Genomic DNA, 18,627 nt, shown 5'->3' with positions numbered 1-18,627 from the left:
TGAAGCAGTCTGCTCTAGTTTTATCATCATAGAAATGTTATTAATAGATTTAAAGCCAGGCTTGGTGGCATGTGCCTGTAGTCCCTGCTACGTGGGAGGCTGAGGCAGAGGATCACCTGTGCCCAGGAGTTCTAGGCCACTGGGATTGCACCACTGCACTCCAGCCTGGTTAACACAGCAAGACCCCATCTTTTTAAAACAAGAAGAAAAGGCTGGGTGTGGTGGCTCATGCCTGTAATCCCAGCACTCTGGGAGGCTGAGGTGGGCGGATCACTTGAGGTCAGGGGTTAGAGATCAGCCTGGCCAACATGGTGAAACCCTGTCTCTACCAAAAATACAAAAATTAGCTGGGTGTGGTGGCGTGTGCCTGTAATCCCAGCTATGGGGGAGGCTGAGGCGTAAGAATTGTTTGAACCAGGGAGGCGGAGGTAGGCGGAGGTTGTAGTGAGCTGAGATCGTGCCGCTGCACTCCAGCTCCAGCCTGGGTGACAGAGCAAGACTCCGTCTCAAAAACAAAATAAGAAAAGAGAGAAATATTAGATTTAAAAAGTATAAAAATTTAGTTATCAATGTAGAATATGTAATAGTCACATGGTTCAAAATGCAAAACAAAAAATACAGAGTAAAGATTCATTTCTACCCGTTCCTCATCTTCCTAGAGGCATTCATTGTGAAATGCCCTTTTAGAAAACACTTTTAATAGTATATAGTAATTCAGATACTCAAGAACCTACCTGTCTACACAAGAGTTTCCCATCTTTGTATGCTACCAAGCCATTTTCTGGAAACACATAATCGTATTTTTCAACCACTACAATCAAAACCAAAAAAACACTTAGAATGCAAAGAATCAAAACCTGTGTTTTTACTCCTTGATTAACAATGACCACCAATAAAACCGCTAAACTCCAGCAAGGACTGTGAAAGACTATCTCATCTTACAGACTAAGAGAAGAGTATGGAAAAAAGTTCCTTGTTTTTTTAATGGCTCTTTTTGGTTACACATTTAAACGATGATGACTGGGCAGGAGATTAGGGACTTGGTGACAGGTTATCTTATGTCCCTGACTTCAGCCTGACTGTCTGTAGAGGAAGATACTCGTCCATGATGCTGATGGTTCACCAGCAGCAACCAGGGCAGTGTGAAAATGCAGATTTCCAAGCTTTGCTCTCTCGCTTCCTGAATCAGAATTGCTGAGGGACAGGCTAAATATATTTTTAAAAAAGCTCTTTGGGTCGGGTGCGGTGTGGCTCACACCTGTAATCCCAGCACTTTGGGAGGCTGAGGCTGGCGGGGTTTTACTAGGTCAGGAGTTCCAGACCAGCCTGGCCAACATAGTGAAACCCCCGTCTCTACTAAAAATACAAAAAATTAGCCAGGCATGGTGGTGTGCGCCTGTAACCCCAGCTACTCCGGAGGCTGAGGCAGGAGAATTGCTTGAACCCAGGAGGCAGAGGGTTCAGTGAGCCAAGATTGTGCCACTGCACTCCAGCCTCGGCAACGGTGCAAGACTCTGTCTAACGTCAAAAAAAAAAAAAAAAAAAACAAAAAAAACCCAAAAAACAAAAAACAAAGCACTAAAAGACCTTTGGTGGCCAGGCACGGTGACTCATGCCTGTAATCCCAGCACTTTGGGAGGCCAAGGTGGCCAGATCACCTGAGGTCGCAAGTTCAAGACCAGCCTGGCCAACATGGTAAAACCCCGTCTCTACTAAAAATACAAAAATTAGCCGGGCGTGCTGGTGGGCGCCTGTAGTCCCAGCTACTTCGGAGGCTGAGGCACACGAATCACTTGAACCCAGGACGCAGAGGTTACAGTGAGCCAAGATTGTGCCACTGCACCAGAGAATAAGACTGTCTCAAAAAAATAAAAATAAATAAATAAATAAAATAAATTTTAAAAAAAGCTCTTCAGTGATTCTTATAATCAGTTTGGTTTGGAAACTATCCATGTTGTCAACCTTAATGAAGGGATTCTCAAACTTCAGGTACCTGTTAAAATGCAGATCCCCTATGTGTTGGGTGGGGACCCCACACTCATATTTTAATAAGCTTCCCAGGTGATTCTGATACAGGTGGGCCTTCAACTGTCTTTTGGCCTGTGAATGTTTTGATTCTATTGTTGCATGTCTCTGACAGGTGCAGACACTATGCTACACTACACAAAACTTCCCTGAGCAAGTGGTTAAATACACAACTAGATGCAGAAAGGGCGATCATGAGCAGGTAACAGGATTTTCAGGGCTTCGTGATCCCCAGTATGCGGTTTATAGCATTTCTAAGTAGGAGATCTACCAGGAAAATGAAGTGGAAGTGGAAGAGAGAGTTTTAAAGAGATTGCAGAGATTACTCTTCTAGTAATGGTGATCCTATAAATACAGTCCATACAGATTTGGACTGTAACATATTACATCTTTGAGAACAGTAGTTCTCAAACGGGGGTAATTTTACACAGAGGTCATTTGGCAATGTCTGGAGACATTTCTGGTAGTCATAGCCGTATGTGTGCGTGTGTGTATGCTGTGGGCATCTAGTGGGTAGAGGCCTGGGATGTTGCTAAAGACCCTACAATGCACAGGACAGCCTTCATAATGGAGAACTAACTGGTCCAAAATATCAATAGTGCGAAGGTGAGAAATCTTGCTCTAGAGGAGCTGGTTCCAAGATGTGAGGACTCTGGGGACAACAGGGGTTAAAAGAACAATCAATTCATCCACCTCTCCACTTATAATTTTTTTTTTTTTCCAAGACGGAGTTTCGTTCTTATTGCCCAGGCTGGAGTGCAATGGTGTGATCTCGGCTCATTGCAACCTCTGCCTCCTGGGTTCAAGCAATTCTCCTGCCTCGGCCTCCTGAGTAGCTGGGATTACAGGTGCCCGTCATCACGCCCAGCTCATTTTTTGTAGTTTTAGTAGAAATGGGGTTTGATCATGTCGGCCAGGCTGGTCTCAAACTCCTGACCTCAGGTGATCCATCCGCCTCGGCCTCCCCAAGTGCTGGGATTATAAGCGTGAGCCACCGCGCCTGGCATCCACTTACAATTTCTTACAGGCCAGGAGGCCCTGTGGCTATGGAGATGAATAACCCATACTCCTGCTCTTCAAAAACATATAATCGGATAGTTTACAATAATTACAGAATGCTACATTAGCAAGGTTGTACACTAGAATCTCTCAGAGGTACTCACTGAAATAGGATTCCCAGGCTCCACAGACCTATCAAGTCAGACTCTCCAGTGAAGGGGTCAATAAGCCTCTCTGGTTTTTCGGGGTCCTGTGCTGGAGATTCTGTTTCAGTGATGGGGAGGTGAGGGGGGCTGTCAGAGGGACAATATGAAGACCGGTCTGACTGGGGCTAGAAGGGCTGTCAACGGGTACAAGCAAGAAGTATTCCAGGCAGAGAGATTATCATGTGCAGATACAGCCACTGACCTTTCTAGGTGAATCTACTCACACATCTGAGTACCCAGTTCTCCATCAGTAACTCCAGAAATGTACTGGATTAAAAGCAGAGGAAAAGCAAAGGCCAAGAAAATGTTTCCCAAAAAAGGAAGCAGAAAGCCCGCCATATGGGGACAAGGTTTTAGGGCAGCCTATGATACTTGGCAACAATATCCTCATAAGAAGTTAATCTTTTACCAGATGTAATTAGCAACCCATCATTTACCATCATTTCCCAGTTGCTCCTGCACTTTCTCAAAGTCCGATCCGCCTACCACTCCGATTTTGATCTTCTGCCTCAATTTTTGTAGGAAGTCATCCATTTCTTTGGTAATTTTCTAAATTTCAAGAAAGAAAATACAACAGTCATAAGCCACACAATAATCAGGAGACCAAAACTCTAAGGGTAACACAAGTACATAAGTCTTATTTTCTTATTTAAAAATTAAAGAAAAAATTTTTTTTTGAGATAGGGTCTCACTTGTCACCCAAGCTGGAGTGCAGTGGCATGGTCATAGCTCATCGCAGCCTCGACCTCCCTGGACTCCGGTGATCCTCCTATCTCTGCCTCCTGAGTAGCTGGGACCATAGTTATGTGCCAGCACACCTGGCTAATTTTTTTATATTTTGTAGAGACTAAGTTTTGCCATGTTGCCCAGGCCAGTCTGGAACTCCTGGGTTCAGGAGATCCACCAGCCTTGGCCTCCCAAAGTGCTGAGATTACAGGTATAAGCCAGGTCTATAAGCCTTATTTTCATACATGCCAATTAAGTTACCAGCTCTGTACATAGTTCAAATATTTTAGTTGTAACTGGGGGGGCATCTTTACCAGAATAAACTTAAGTGTTATTTTTACCAAATTTTAAACACAGGTAATATGTTAGTAGCTGTTGTGCACTGTCCCAGCTATTTTTCTATGCATTTATATACCCATCTATGGGCACATATACAAATAGGTCTTATTTTTGAAACATAAATGGAATCATGTCCTGTGCAGGGACTTTGGTTTTTCAGCACTATGCTGTGGTGATCTTTTCATGCCAACACAGATCTAGCTCATCATTCCTTTTAAATGCTACACTATACTCCATTTATGGATTTAAGTTGTTGATTTTAAAATAAAACAACATAATGAAATTAAAGAGGAAGCTTAGGGCCAGACATGGAGGCTCATGCCTGTAATCCCGGCACTTTAGGAGGCCGAGGCGGGTGGATCACCTGAGGTCAGAGTTCGAGATCAGCCTGGCCAACGTGGCGAAACCCTGTCTCTATTAAAAATACAAAAATTAGGCGGGCGCGCTGGTGGGCGCCTGTAGTCCCAGCTACTCGGGAGGCTGAGGCAGGAGAATCACTTGAACCCGGGAGTCAGAGGTTGCAGTGAGCCAAGATCGTGCCACTGCACTCCAGCCTGGGTCACAGAGCGAGACTTCGTCTCAAAACAAAACAAAACAAAACAAAAAAAAAAAAAAAAGGAGAAGCTTAGAATTGATTTTATTGCAATCACCCAAAACAAAACAAAAATGTAAAAGAGTAAGATAACTAGATTTTTTAGTCTCTTCTAAAAGCAAAGCTCCTATCTAGAAAGAGTGGTCTTAGTGGTATAATCTTATGGTAAATTCCAAACTGTGTGATAATTTTAAAAAAGTTATAAACTAAGATGAAAAAATAGCCCTACATTAAGACACATCACAATGTATTTTTACAAGTCTTATAACTCAGCACTTTGAGCAATCTCAGTTGTACATTTACACTGAATGTCTTTTTTTTTTTTTTTTTGACACGAAGTCGTGCTCTGTCACCCAGGCTGGAGTGCAATGGTGTGGTCTCGGCTCATTGCAACCTCCACTTCCTGGGTTCAAGCGATTCTCCTGTCTCAGCCTCCCAGGTAGCCAGGATTACAGGCGCCCGCCATCATGCTCGGCTAATCTTTTTGTATTTTTAGTAGAGACTGGGTTTCACCATGTTGGCAAGGCTGGTCTCGAACTCCTGACCTCAAGTGATCCACCCGCCTCAGCCTCCCCAAGTGCTGGGATTATAGGCATGAACTACCGTGCCCGGCTGAATATCTTTTTACTAGAAATTTAGAAAATACAAAAAACCATTTAATTCAACCTCAGTATATAAACACTTGGAGTTCAATGATTTTTCTTTAAAAAACTTTTTTAGAGTAATACATGAATGTGATTAAAATTGTACAGAAGGGTTTGTAATAGAGTGCAATCTTTTCTACTCTCACAGTGGAATCTGGACCTATTAGACAGAATCTAGAATTGGAGGAGTGGCCTTTAAAAGTCAGAACACGGTGGCTCACGCCTGTAATCCCAGCACTTTGGGAGGCCGAGGCGGGTGGATCACGAGGTCCAGAGATAGAGACCATCCTGGCCAACACAGTGAAACCCCATCTCTACTAAAAATACAAAAATTAGCCAGGCGTGGTGGTGCCTGCCTGTAGCACCAGCTACTTGGTTGCCTGAGGCAGGAGAATTGCTTGAACCTGGGAGGTGGAGGTTGCAGTGAACTGAGATTGGGCCACTACACTCCAGTCTGGTGACAGAGTGAGACTCTGTCTTAAAAAAAAAAAAAGAGTCAGAACTGTGAAAATCAGAAAATCAGAAGCACTTTCCTGAATGGCATACCCAGTGACTAGAACAGCTTCCACCTTAGCACAGATAGGAAATGGCAAACTTGACAGGAACCAATATCCTGAGGCCCAGAGACTTGTACCAGGTTGGCTGTGTGAAACTGAGGAGGTTAGTTCTTCACTGAGTGTGTTTCCTTATGTTTAAAACGGTAATAACAACTATCCTACCTGGGAAGAAAGATGGAGGAAGGTTGAGAGGGTTCAGTGATATGAAAAAGGGTGGCAATGTAAACCCTAGACCACTATGGCCCACAGACCACATTGGGCAGCTGTTTGTTTTTGTAATAAATAAATAAAATTTTATTGGTACACAGCCACTCTTATTTATATAGGGTTTATGGCTGGTTTTGCACTAAAGTTGAGTGGTTACTATAGACCACATAGTCAGCAAAGACAGAGAAGTATTTGCTATATGGCCCTTTACAAAAAATGAATTGGGGACCGGAGTTTTAGACCACTATGGGCTTTTAACAAACCCAAGTGTGTGATCACTGAATTTCAGAATCAGAAAAAGCCTTTGAAGAACTTGGGAGTTGAGCGTCATCACTAGGTAAATCAAACCTGTGGCTGAGAAGGGCAAAATGATACGTCTAAGGTCACACGCATTTGACCTGGACTTCTGGAGCACACCATTGTTACCACCAAGCGAAAACTATGAGGGGTGAGGGTAGAAGCTGAGGATAGTGAGACCATTGGGGTCCAGTCTCAAGTTGAAATGGCCAGTGTTCAGTGGCCAATTTCTGAAAAGGGGCCAGGAGAGCCTCACCTCAAGGCTGATCGTAACTGAAACTTATCTGTGCCTGTAGCAGCAAAATCTGAAAGTGGAAAGCAAGTTTCCAAGGGCCCAAAGAGGCTCTCAGCGGGCAGCCTGTAATAACCTAGGGCTCCTCCATCTCCCTAGTCCATTGCAGGGGCTGGAGATGGGTGTGGTGGAGGTGGCTACTATTTACTGAGGCCTAGTGTGTTGTGTCCAACATACTTTCAAGAACTTACACAATCTCATTTGATCCTCACAGACACCATATGGAACAGGTAACATCCCCATTTAAAGCTGTAGATGTTGAGGCTCAGAGAGGTTAATGACTCGCTGAAGGTCACACAGATGTCAAGAGGTGAAGATGAGACTCCACTAGGTCGGTTTGACCTGGAAACCTGTTTTTAATATCATGACTCACGGCACAGCCCATTGGTTACAGGATTGGGGCCGACACATAGCTGATAAGGGGGCCTGATCTTGGGTTGAAATCCTGGTCTATCAGTCCCGAGCACTAGCGGTGAGTCCAGATTACATTTTCCAACCTAGCACAAGTTTCCTGCTCTTAAGAGTTCTTCAGCCCCGTCTCATCTTTCCAAGCACCAGAGCTCTTCAAGAGCTGGTTAGGGCCTCCCTCTCATTCCTCCAGTGCACCCAGAATAGGGTTCAGCGCCGTGAGGACGTAGGCGGTCCTTAGCCACCCCTTGGCGCCTACCCTGGGTGGTCGATAGCCCCAACTGGGAACAGCACGGGCTCCGCGTCGGCTGCCAGCAGCCCGCCGGCCGCCACTTACCTGCCGCGGGGCGGTGAGGGTCCCATCCACGTCGAAGAGGCAGAGCGCTGGGCCAGGCGCTGCCATGTCCCCAGTTTCTAGCCGCACCTTACAAGACACGTTGGCACGAGGAACTCGGCCCGGAACTTCCGGGTTCGGCCGCTGAGTCGCAGGGCACGTCGGGAAGAGGAGGGGACTCCGTTCCCATAACGCCTGGGAGTAGCGGCAGCCACGATTCCTGGACCGCAACTCCCAGGGTGCAACGCAGATCACGCCCGCCTTGTACATTCGAGCATGCGCTCTTAGGGGTTCCGGGGGCCGGTGGGATTTACTTCCGGCAGCAGGTGGTGGGGCCATGGTAAGGAGGCGGGTGGCGAGCCTTGAGGGGGTGATGCTCTTTGGGGTCGGGGTCAGGGCTGGGGCGGGCAGGCCCGACGCTCGGGTTTCGGACTCCGAGGATCCGTGGGAGGAAGCTCTGGCGTGTGTTACAGTTCGCTTTTCCCGGGCTTTCTCTTGCCCTCCTTGGGTCACATGCGCACAGTAGTAGTAGCTAAAACTCGCCGAGCTCTCACAGTGCATTAGGTACTAAGTTGAGGACTCTGAAACCATCCTCTGGTTCACTGTGTTCTGAGTCCCCATTTTGAAAGGCGAAGAAACCGAATCTCAGGGGTGTGGAGTAATTTGCTCACAAATTACTGTTGGAGCCAGAATTGGAATAAGAGCTTTTACTGCTTCACTACCCACCTAGTAATACCCTTGTGCTACGTGTTGGGGCCTCCCTGCCTCGCTCCTTCTCCTTCTCCGCTGTTTCCCCTTCCCCAGACTAGGCTAAGAGAAAGCAGCAGTTCCCTCCAGCACCCAAGATAGCATATGAATCAAACAGAGAATTAGAAAGTTTATTGGAATAAATATCTCACAGATTTGTTGCTCGAGTTCCCCACTAAGACACTGATTATTTAGTTTCCTGCTTGGGGAAATGTTCACACCCCCTTGTGGATACATTGTCCAGCCCAGAGTTTGTCCTCCCTGGATATGTTTTGAATTAATGACGGCCGCACCTCCTTTCCTGTATTTATTTGGAATTGCCTGGTGGAAGGAGGACTCTGCTGCACTCACTGACTGTGTGATCTTTGGTAAATATCTTACCCTCTCTGGGCTTAGTTTCCCTAGTGGTAAAGTGGAAATAGTGATAACTATCTTAGATAGCTGTTGTGATGCCCACATGAGATAGCATCTGGCTTTACCCTTCCCTCGTCTGGCAATAACGGTTACCTTGCAGGATTGGCAGAAGCCTTAGAGTATGGTGCTTTGCAGATGTTCACCGTGTGATTAATGTGGTTGAGTTCCATGAGAGAAATGGTCTACTGTCTCCCTTTCAGGCTGCCCTTCTCCGAGCTGTGCGTAGGTTTCGGGGAAAAGCTGTGTGGGAAAGGCCTCTCCATGGGCTGTGGTGCTGCAGTGGGCAGGAGGATCCTAAGAGGTGGGTGGGCAGCAGTTCACCCATCTCGAAGGAGAAACTACCAAACGCAGAGACTGAGAAATTCTGGATGTTTTACCGTTTTGATGCCATCAGAACCTTCGGGTTCCTGTCACGACTGAAGTTGGCACAGACTGCCCTGACAGTGGTAGCTTTGCCACCAGGCTATTACTTGTACTCCCAGGGCCTCCTCACTCTCAACACCGTGTGCCTCATGAGTGGGATATCGGGCTTTGCCCTGACCATGCTGTGCTGGATGAGCTATTTCTTACGGAGACTGGTTGGTATCCTGTATCTGAATGAGTCTGGCACCATGCTGCGGGTGGCCCATCTGAACTTCTGGGGCTGGCGGCAGGACACATACTGTCCCATGGCAGATGTGATTCCCCTGACAGAAACCAAGGACCGGCCTCAGGAGATGTTTGTGCGTATCCAGCGGTACAGTGGGAAACAGACCTTCTACGTCACCCTGCGCTATGGACGCATCCTGGACAGAGAGCGTTTCACACAGGTGTTTGGGGTACATCAGATGCTCAAGTGAACAACTGGGACCTGGACCTCTGGGTAACCCTGGGTCGCCTGGATTAACAGGAAGGCTGAGGGTGTGGGCAAGGCTGAAGAAAGGGGACTGGGTACTTGGAGACTTTGCCTGGGCCCCTGGGAACATGTGTTTTGTGGTGAATAAATTCACAAGGCAAGAGCTGGTGTACAGGTTTAGGAAAAAGGCTCTAAGCAAGTTCTTACAGCACTTGTTTGTGACATTCAGTCAGATAATGGCCAGAAGTTTTTGTTAAGAGCCAGTTCTTAGAAGAACCTATGCCAAGGTCACCCATAGAGTCCATTGGTGTGAAAGAGAAAGGCAAAGAGGTGTGGCGGGGGAGCGTAAGATTTGGAGTCAGAAGTCTCAGTTCTGTCATTTGTCCTGGAGCAGGTTATTGAGTCTCTTTGAATCTTGGTTTTCACATCTGTAAAATGGAAAGTCCTGCTTGTTTCATGGGATGGGTGTGGGAATAAACAATAAATGTCAAACGTGTGGCAGACTCAACAGCCTACAGCAGATATTATTAAGCATTTGGTCAGAGGTTTTAGCAGGGAGAAAGGCTTCGAGCAGTCAGCAGGGACTTCCAGAGCCCTGTGCTGTGCCCCTCACATATCCAGCGGCAGAAGGGTCTGTCAGGATGTTAACTACACATTGACGAGCAGATGTCGTCCAGGTAGGCACGAAACCCCAGTTGAGATTTGTTCACCACCCAGAGGTCTAGAGGCTCTTGCTTTGGATGGCCCTGCAGTGTAATAAAGCCAAATGCACCGGATGCTGGTACGTTATTTTATAAACTTAAGCCAGTTATATACATTGCCCCACATAATTAATAATATATGTTCATTATACAATTTGTAACACAGTAAAGAGGAAGGAAGGCATGATCTTTATTATTTTGCCACTCGAAAGTCAATAAGAATGTTTTATCGCTGGGGGCGGTGGCTCACACCTGTAATCCCAGCACGTTGGGAGGTCAAGGTGGCGGATCACGAGGTCAGGAGATCGAGGCCATCCTCGCTAACAGGGTGAAACCGTGTCTCCACTAAAAAATACAAAAAAATTAGCTGGGCGTGGTGGCAGGTGCCTGTAGTCCCAGCTACTCGGGAGGCTGAGGCAGGACAATGGTGTGAACCTGGGAGGCGGAGTTTGCAGTGAGCCGAGATCACGCCACTGCACTCCAGCCTGGGCGACAGAGTGAGACTCCGTCTCAAAAAAAAAATATTTTTTTTTATTGTGTAGCCTTCCATTTTTCTTAACCATACCAAGATACACCTAACAAATTTATCCTTTTAATCATTTTTAAGTGTGCAATTCAGGGACATTAAGTATATTAACAATGTTGTACAGGCTGGGCACACTGTCTCATGCCTGTAATCCCAGCACTTTGGGAGGCTGAGGCGTGTGGATCACTTGAAGTCAGGAGTTCAAGACCAGCCTGGCCAACATGGCAAAACCCTGTCTCTACTGAAAATACAAAAATTAGCTGGGCATGGTGGTGGGCACTTGTATTCCCAGCTACTTGAGAAGCTTGAACCCGGGAGGCAGAGGTTGCAGTGAGCCGAGATTGCACCAATGCACTCCAGCCTGGGAGACAGCCAGACTATCTCAAAAACAAACAAAACAAAAAATGTTGTACAACCGTCACCACCATCTATTTCCAGAACATTTTCATTATCCCAAACAGAACTAATATACCCATTGAGCAATAATTTCCTTCTTTTTCCAGCCCTTGGCAACCACTAACCTGCTTTCTGTCCCTCTGGATTCACCTGTTCTGGATATTTCATATAAATGGAATCATACAATATGTGACCCTTTGTATCTGGCTCTTTTTTTTTTTTTTTTTTGAGTTGAAGTCTCGCTCTGTTTCCCAGGCCAGAGAGCAGTGGCGCGATGTCCACTCACTGCAACTTCCGCCTCACCAGCTCAAATGATTCTGCCTCAGCCTCCCAAGTAGCTGGGATTATAGGTGCCTGACGCCAAGCCTGGCTAATTTTTGTATTTTTAGTAGAGATGGGGTTTCACCATGTTGTCCAGGCTGACCTGGAATCTCTGACCTCAAGTGATCACCCACCTCGGCCTCCCACAGTGCTGGGATTATAGGCGTGAGCCAGTGCGGCTGGCCTGTATCTGGCTTCTTTGACTTGGTGTAGTGTTGTCAAGGTGCATCCGTGTTGTAGCATATGTCAGTGCTATTTCTTTTTTATGGTTAAATATATTTACGGGTGCAGTGTGTATTCTCTGTGTGTGCCACATTTTGTTTGTCCATCTGTTGATGGACATTTGAGTTGTCGTCACCTTTTGACTACTGATGAATGAACATTTGGCTATTGCTGTGAACACTGGTATACGAGTATCTGTTTGAGTCCCTGCTTTCAGTTGTTTTGGGTACGTACTGAGAAGTGGATTAACTGGATCCTGTGGTAATTCTGTTTATTTTTGAGGACCTGCCACTTTTCCACAGCAGCTGTACCATTTTACATTCTCACCAGCAACAGACAAGGGTTCCTGTTTCTCTACATTCTTGTCAACAGTGGTTACTTTTCCTTTTTTTTAAATTTGAGATGGAGTCTTACTCTGTCACCCAGACTGGGTTGCAGTGGTGTGATCTTGGCTCACTGCAGACTCCGCCTCTCAGGTTCAAGCGATTCTCCTGCCTCAGCCTCCTGAGTAGCTGGGATTACAGGCACCCACCACCATGCCCAGCTAATTTTTCTGCTTTTAGTAGAGATGTGGTTTTGCCATGTTGGCCAGACTGGTCTCGAACTCCTGAACTCGAGGGATCCACCTGCCTCGGCCTCCCAAAGTGCTGGGATTACAGGTATGAGCCACCACGCCTGGCCCTTCACTTCGATGCTTCTGTCCTGTGCTTCCATCCTTGCTTTACTTGAGTCCGTTTTTGCAGCTGTCAAAGTGATGCTTAAAAACAGAATCACGTCACTGCTGTGAAGGCTGATGGCCTAATCCACCCTCCCCTTCCCTCCCTCATCCGCACCTCTGTGGAGATCATTCCCCCAGGTCACGACTGCCTTGCTGTTCTCCAGTAATCGAGAATATTCCAGCCTTAAGGCCTTTGCATTGACAGTTCCCTCTGCCTGGAAGGCTTTCTCCCTAGATGCCTGCAAAGAGAACTAACCGCCTCCCCTTCAGTATCCTCTCGGTATAACAGGGTTTTACTATTTATGCTCAAGAAGTGTAGTGAAGATTCAATTATATAGAAGAGACATGTGCATAGCAGTTACACGTGGCTGTTCATTCCTTCTGTACCTTGCCTTCACCTGCCTGTCAGTTCCTTCAGTGACTGTGACTCCCTTCCCCATGAAGAGATAAAGCCTGTGGCTAAAAAATGTCTTAAGAAGTCATAATGATTTGACCTTAACCTCATTAAAACCAAAAATTCTCTCTGTTGGGTTGTAAGTAATGACCTGAGTGAGCCTCACCCCAGGATATTCTGATTATGTCTGGGGTGGATTTCCAGGATCTGTTTTTTTGACCAGCTTGAAGCCAATTCTGAGATTCAGGCAGGCTGGGAATTTCTGAAATACATTACTAGAACAGAAGACACCAGAGTGACACATGGTTCTGTGGACTTTGTGTTCCTGGGCCAATTTTCTGCCCAAAGAATAGGTTCTTAACACTGGCTTTATGTGTAGAATCTCCTGGAGAGTGTTTTAAAAACCCCATTGTCGAAGCCCATGACCAGGCATTTTTATTTTCACGGTTCCCTGGGTGATTCTAACATGGTTGACCATCGCTGCCTTTGGAGAATCACCACTCTGTTAAGTCTGCAAGGGGCTTGCCCTGGGAGGTGAGACCAGATTCTCACCCATGCAGGCATTCCATGTGTGGTCTGCTCATGCAGTACCAGCAGAGGGCACACAGAGCAAATGCATTATTCTAACGCTGTATCCCTAAGCTAAAATCACAGATGTCCACCAGATAACAGGAAATGTGTTAGGGCTTCTGTCATGCACCAGTAGGGTAGTACCTGAGAGCTGCCCCCAAAAAACCAAAGTCAACAACAGAAGCAATAAAAGGACTGGTGCAGTGGCTCACACCTGTAATCCCAACTCTTTGGGAGGCCAAGGTGGGCAGATCGCTTGAGACCAGAAGTTCAAGACCAGCCTGGGCAACATGGTGAAACCCCATCTCTACTAAAAATGTGAAAAATTAGCTGGGTGTAGGGTACATGCCTGTACTCCCAGCTACTGGGGAGGCTGAGGTGAGAAGATCACTTGAGCCTGAGGGGCAGAGGTTGCAGTGAGCTGAGACTGCGCCACTGCACTGCAGCCTGGGTGACAGAGCGGGATCCTGTCTCAAAAAACAAAAAAAACATTAAGTGTGCCCAACCCTTGTTGAATCTGGTAGAACCTGGGCATCTGTTTGTTTATGCTTCCCAGGTTATTCCACAGTACTACAAGTTTTGAGAATCACCCAAAGCCATACAATAGATGGCAAAGCAGCTTCTCAGAAAATGGGAGTTGTCTTTAGATTTGGGTGGTAGATATATTGGCAGTTGCCCCCTTTAACAACAATTATAACATGATTGTCTTAGTTCACTTGGGCTGCTGTAACAAAAATACCGTAGGCTGGATGGCTCAAGCAACATTAATTTTTACAGTTCTGGAGGCTGGGAAATCCAAGATTAATGCGTCAGCGGGTTCATTGTCTAGGAGGGCCTGTTTCCTGGTTGGTAGACAGGCTTATTCCTGCTGTGGTCTCCCATGGCAAAAGAGGTGAGGGAGCTCTCTGAAATTTTTTATAGGGCACTAATCCCATTCATGAGGGATCCACCCTCATGACCTAATCCACTTCCAAAGTTCCCATCTCCAGATATCATCACATTGGAAATTAGGTTTCAACATATGAATTTGGGGGTGACATAAACATTCAGAATATAGCAATAATCTAACAGAAATACTGAAGTGTACATATAAGGATGTTGACTGAAATATTTCCAATAGCAAAAAAACTAGTCCGGGCATGATGGCTCATGCCAGTAATCCCAGCACTTTGGGAAGCTGAGGTGGAAGGATCGCTTGAGACCAGGAGTTCGAAACCAGCCCGGTCAACATAGTGAAACCCCATCTCTACAAAAGAAAAAATAAAACATTAGCTGGATATGGTGGCACATGCCTGTAGTCCTAGCTACTTGGGAGGCTGAGGCAGGAGAATTGTTTGAGCCCGGAAGTTCAAGGCTGCAGTGAGCCATCACTGTGCCACTGCACTCTAGCCTGGGTGACAGAGTGAGACCCTGTCTCAATAAATAAATAAGAAAAGTAAAAACTGGGAATAATCTAAGTTTCCATTAGTAGGCCACATGGTTAAGTAAATGTTGGTAGATTAATATTGTAGTATACATGCAACCTTTAAAAAGAGTGAGATTGTACTGTATCTGTGGAAAAGACCACGAGGTAGGTAGTGAAAAAAAAAAAGCAAGTCACAGAACAGTGTAGTTCTGTGTGATCTTATTTGTGTTTTTAAAAAGTACATGTTGGCCAGGTGCAGTGGCTGTAATCCCAGCACTTTGGGATGCTGAGGCAGGTGGATGACTTGAGGTCAGGAGTTCGAGACCAGCCTGGTCAACATGGTGAAACCCCATCTCTACTCAAAATACAAAAATTAGCTGGGGGTGGTGTCAGACGCCTGTAATCTCAGCTACTCAGGAGGCTGAGGCAGGAGAATTGCTTGAACCCAGGAGGCAGAGATTGCAGTGAGCGGAGATCGCAACATCTCACTCCAGCCTGGGCTACAGTGTGAGACTCCATCTCAAATACATACATACATACATACATTGCAAATTGTGAAGAGTGGCTACCCCCGGGAGAGGATTGAGGGTGAGAGGGGTATAATGAGCACATCATTCATCCTAGCAAATGAAGAAAAACGCTGTAATAAACAGTCTGTTCTTCCATTCCCTTCTCCTCCCACCAGCTTTCTAGGCAAAGGAAAGTTTCTCAACCATGAATTCCAATTCTGGACTCAGAAGCTGAGTAGATGGAAGGAAACATGCAGTCTTTGAAAACTCAGTTAAAGCAGCTGTGATTTAACCATGTTTGTCCCTTGTCAAGTGGCTTTCCTTCTTGTCTGGATTTTGCCCCCGTCTCCCTGCCATGCTGTGGCCATGTAAATAATTTAGATGCCTAGGGTGGTCTGGAGCATGTCCGTTTTATTTTTTTGTTTTTCGAGACAGAGTCTTGCTCTGTCGCCCAGGCTGAAGTGCACAGGTGTGATCTCGGCTCACTGCAACCTCTGCCTCCCGGGGATCAAGCCATTCTCCTGCCTTAGCCTCCCAAGGAGCTGGGGTTACAGGCACCCACCACCACGCCGGCTAATTTTTGTATTTTTAGTAGAGACGGGGTTTCACCATGTTGTCCAGGCTGGTCTTGAACTCCTGACCTCATGATCCACCTGCCTCAGCCTCCCAAAGTTCTGGGATTACAGGCGTGAGCCACTGGGTCTGGCCTGTTTTTCTGTTTGTTTGTTTGTTTGTTTGTTTGTTTGTTTTAAGATGGATCCTCGCTCTGTCACCCAGTCTACAGTGCAGTGGTGCAATCTCAGCTCACTGCAACCTCTGCCTCCTGGGTTCAAGTGATTCTCTGCCTCAGCCTCCTGAGTAGCTGGGGTTACAGGCGCACGCCACCACGCTCAGCCAATTTTTGTATTTTTAGTAGGGACAGGGTTTCACCACGTTGGCCAGGATGGTTTCAAACTCCTGGCCTCAAGTGATCGGCCCACCTTGGCCTCCCAAAGGGTGGGGATTACAGGCGTGAGCTGCTGTGCCCAGCCACATGTCAGTTTTCATATGGCCACCATCCACACATGAGGTCTGCATCAACTGGGGACCTGGTGACGATGCTCCCAGTGTGCACGTGGGAAGCACAGCCCAGTGGTAGCTGTTGTCCTCCTTCCTATGCTGGTTACCAAAAATGAGACTTACCTTGTCATAGGGCCAGATGTCTATGGCATCCGCCACCCAATCATTGCATAACCATGTTTAATGCGCTCCCCAAAGCAGATCTGGTGGGCTGAGCAGCTTGCAGGGGACAGCCTGGATGAATTGCCTGGAGAACTAGAGTTGGGAGCTTGCTTTATGTTGCTGCTTTATGACTGCAAGACTCGTGAGTTCCTAAATAGAAAGCAACAGGGTCCCTTTGAACTCCGGGCAGAGTCCAACTTTTAATGGCCTTGTTTTGATCCTGCGCCATTCAATTGTAAAATCTTGCCTGATTAGAGTCCCATCAGGCAAGGCCAGTACCGTCTAGGTATGGCCATGTTCATACCAACTCTAAGGACACAAACATTCATTTTACTGATTAACAGTTGAAATACACTCTCAGATTCAGCTGGGCTTGCACCTATGGTGTGAAGTAGATTTAATATTTACCAGTGGGAAGTTAACTCTCACAGAAATATAATATTGCCTTTTAGAACTATATATGAGACACACTCAGCTATTCATGGAGAAGAAGCAGTAAAGGACACCAGCATGTATTAAATGCCTACTGTGTGCTGGGCAATTATTATAGGATTTCATTTAATCTGCCAGCAACACTTTGAGTTGGAGAACCCCAGAGAGGTGGTAGAGTGTTCGGGTGAAGCATATGGCTTCTGAAGCCAAACTTCTTGCCTGCTTGAATTCCAGCCCTGCCAATTCCCAGCTGTATAACCTCTTTCTCTGCCTCGGTTTCTTCCTCTGTGAAGTGAAGATAATAACACCACCTACCCAGGATTGTGGGGAGGATTACATGACTTACTACATGAAAAGCACTTAAAATAGTGCTCAGTCCAGGCAAGCACTCAATAAATGTTAGCTAGCAATACTATAATCATCCTTTTTTGGCAGAATAAGGTTCAGAGAACTGAAGTGACTTGCCCACGATCACCCGTCTAGAAAACAGTAGAGCTGGGTCATTCCACTGCCTCCCCAGGGGAAGGACAGAATATAGAAAACAGGCCGGCACAGTGGTTCATGCCTGTAATCCCAGCACTTTGGGAGGCCGAGGCAGGCGGATCACCTGAGCTCAGGAGTCCGAGACCGGCCTGTCCAACATGGCGAAATCCCGTCTCTACTAGAAATGACAAAAAATTAGCTGGGGTTGGTGGTGCATGCCTGTAATCCCAGTCACTGGGGAGACTGAGGCAGGACAATCACTTGAACTTGGGAGGTGGAGGTTGCTGCGAGCCAAGATTGCACCACTGCACGCCAGCCTGGGCGACAGAGTGAGACTCTTGTCTCAAAAAAAAAAAAAAAAAGAAAAGAAAACTGTGACTCTTTAACAATTTTTTTTTGGTTTTGTTTTGTTTTTTGAGACGGAGTCTCGCTCTGTCACCCAGGCTGGAGTGCAGTGGCACGATCTTGGCTCACTGCAACCTCCGCCTCCTGAGTTCAAGCGATTCTCGTGCCTCAGCCTCCCAAGTAGCTGAGACTACAGGCATGTGCCACCACACCTGGCTAATTTATATGTTTTTAGTAGAGACGGGGTTTCACCATGTTGGTCAGGCTGGTCTCAAACTCCTGGCTCAAGTGATCTGCCCGCCTCGGCCTCCCCAAGTGCTGGGATTATGGGAGTGAGCCACTATGCCCGGCCAGTGCTTTATAATTTTTACAACAGACGGGTGAGGTAGGTACAGTAAATCCTCATTTAATGTCATCAGTAAGTTTTGGGAAACTGATTATAAGTTAAACGACATACAATGAAACCAATATTTTTTCCTCATCATAATAGTAAGATGTTGAAAGAAACAATGTTATAACAAGACAACTTTGAATGAAATGATGTTTTCGAGGACCTGCCATCCATTTCCAAGAACCTATCTGTGACATTAAGTGAAGACTTACTATTTGTATACTTTTTTTTGTTTCGAGACAAGGTCTCACTCTGTCGCCCAGGCTGGAGTGCAGTGGTGCAATCATAGTTCACTGCAGCCTCAATCTCTTGGGCTCAGGCAATCCTCCCACCCCAGCCTCCCAAGTAGCTGGAATTATAGGCACATGCCA

General features: G+C 46.4%; 2 protein-coding genes across 3 annotated transcripts in view, besides 5 other annotated features; one reads left to right on the top strand and one right to left on the bottom strand.

Moving 5' to 3' along the window:
• PMM2 (phosphomannomutase 2) overlaps positions 1 to 7,739 on the bottom strand; it is a 51,487-nt gene extending 43,748 nt beyond the window's left edge. The window contains exons 1-3 of one of the 2 annotated variants that reach the window (NM_000303.3): positions 7,630 to 7,739; positions 3,668 to 3,779; positions 735 to 811 (exon numbers count right to left, since the gene is read on the bottom strand). In NM_000303.3, the coding sequence (NP_000294.1) occupies positions 735 to 811; positions 3,668 to 3,779; positions 7,630 to 7,695 (255 nt within the window). In that variant the 5' untranslated portion in view covers positions 7,696 to 7,739. Of the gene's footprint in view, positions 1 to 734; positions 812 to 3,667; positions 3,780 to 7,629 lie in introns of those variants that run through there. The other variant, XM_047434215.1, reaches the window with a different exon arrangement.
• Positions 6,051 to 6,100: a silencer, noted in NCBI's record as "silent region_7178". NCBI's record gives its function as "represses an Ori minimal core promoter by ATAC-STARR-seq in GM12878 lymphoblastoid cells {active_cell/tissue: GM12878}" and the evidence as "EXISTENCE:reporter gene assay evidence [ECO:0000049][PMID:35858748]".
• Positions 6,956 to 7,650: an enhancer, noted in NCBI's record as "H3K27ac hESC enhancer chr16:8891785-8892479 (GRCh37/hg19 assembly coordinates)". NCBI's record gives its function as "activates a minimal SCP1, AML or CMV promoter by ChIP-STARR-seq in primed H9 embryonic stem cells {active_cell/tissue: H9 hESC(primed)}" and the evidence as "EXISTENCE:reporter gene assay evidence [ECO:0000049][PMID:30033119]".
• Positions 7,651 to 8,345: an enhancer, noted in NCBI's record as "H3K27ac hESC enhancer chr16:8891090-8891784 (GRCh37/hg19 assembly coordinates)". NCBI's record gives its function as "activates a minimal SCP1, AML or CMV promoter by ChIP-STARR-seq in naive H9 embryonic stem cells {active_cell/tissue: H9 hESC(naive)}" and the evidence as "EXISTENCE:reporter gene assay evidence [ECO:0000049][PMID:30033119]".
• On the top strand, positions 7,939 to 10,398 carry TMEM186 (transmembrane protein 186). Its single transcript, NM_015421.4, has 2 exons — positions 7,939 to 7,966; positions 8,988 to 10,398. Exons 1-2 carry the CDS (start codon positions 7,964 to 7,966, stop codon positions 9,624 to 9,626), a joined length of 642 nt encoding a protein of 213 aa, NP_056236.2. The 5' UTR covers positions 7,939 to 7,963; the 3' UTR covers positions 9,627 to 10,398.
• Positions 7,963 to 8,012: an enhancer, noted in NCBI's record as "active region_10353". NCBI's record gives its function as "activates an Ori minimal core promoter by ATAC-STARR-seq in GM12878 lymphoblastoid cells {active_cell/tissue: GM12878}" and the evidence as "EXISTENCE:reporter gene assay evidence [ECO:0000049][PMID:35858748]".
• Positions 13,419 to 13,598: a silencer, noted in NCBI's record as "silent region_7177". NCBI's record gives its function as "represses an Ori minimal core promoter by ATAC-STARR-seq in GM12878 lymphoblastoid cells {active_cell/tissue: GM12878}" and the evidence as "EXISTENCE:reporter gene assay evidence [ECO:0000049][PMID:35858748]".

This window comes from Homo sapiens, chromosome 16, assembly GCF_000001405.40.
Source record: "Homo sapiens chromosome 16, GRCh38.p14 Primary Assembly".
Classification (NCBI taxonomy): Eukaryota; Metazoa; Chordata; class Mammalia; order Primates; family Hominidae; genus Homo; species Homo sapiens.
The sequence above is the reverse complement of the archived record's forward strand: the minus strand, read 5'-3'. Positions and strand labels throughout refer to the sequence as shown.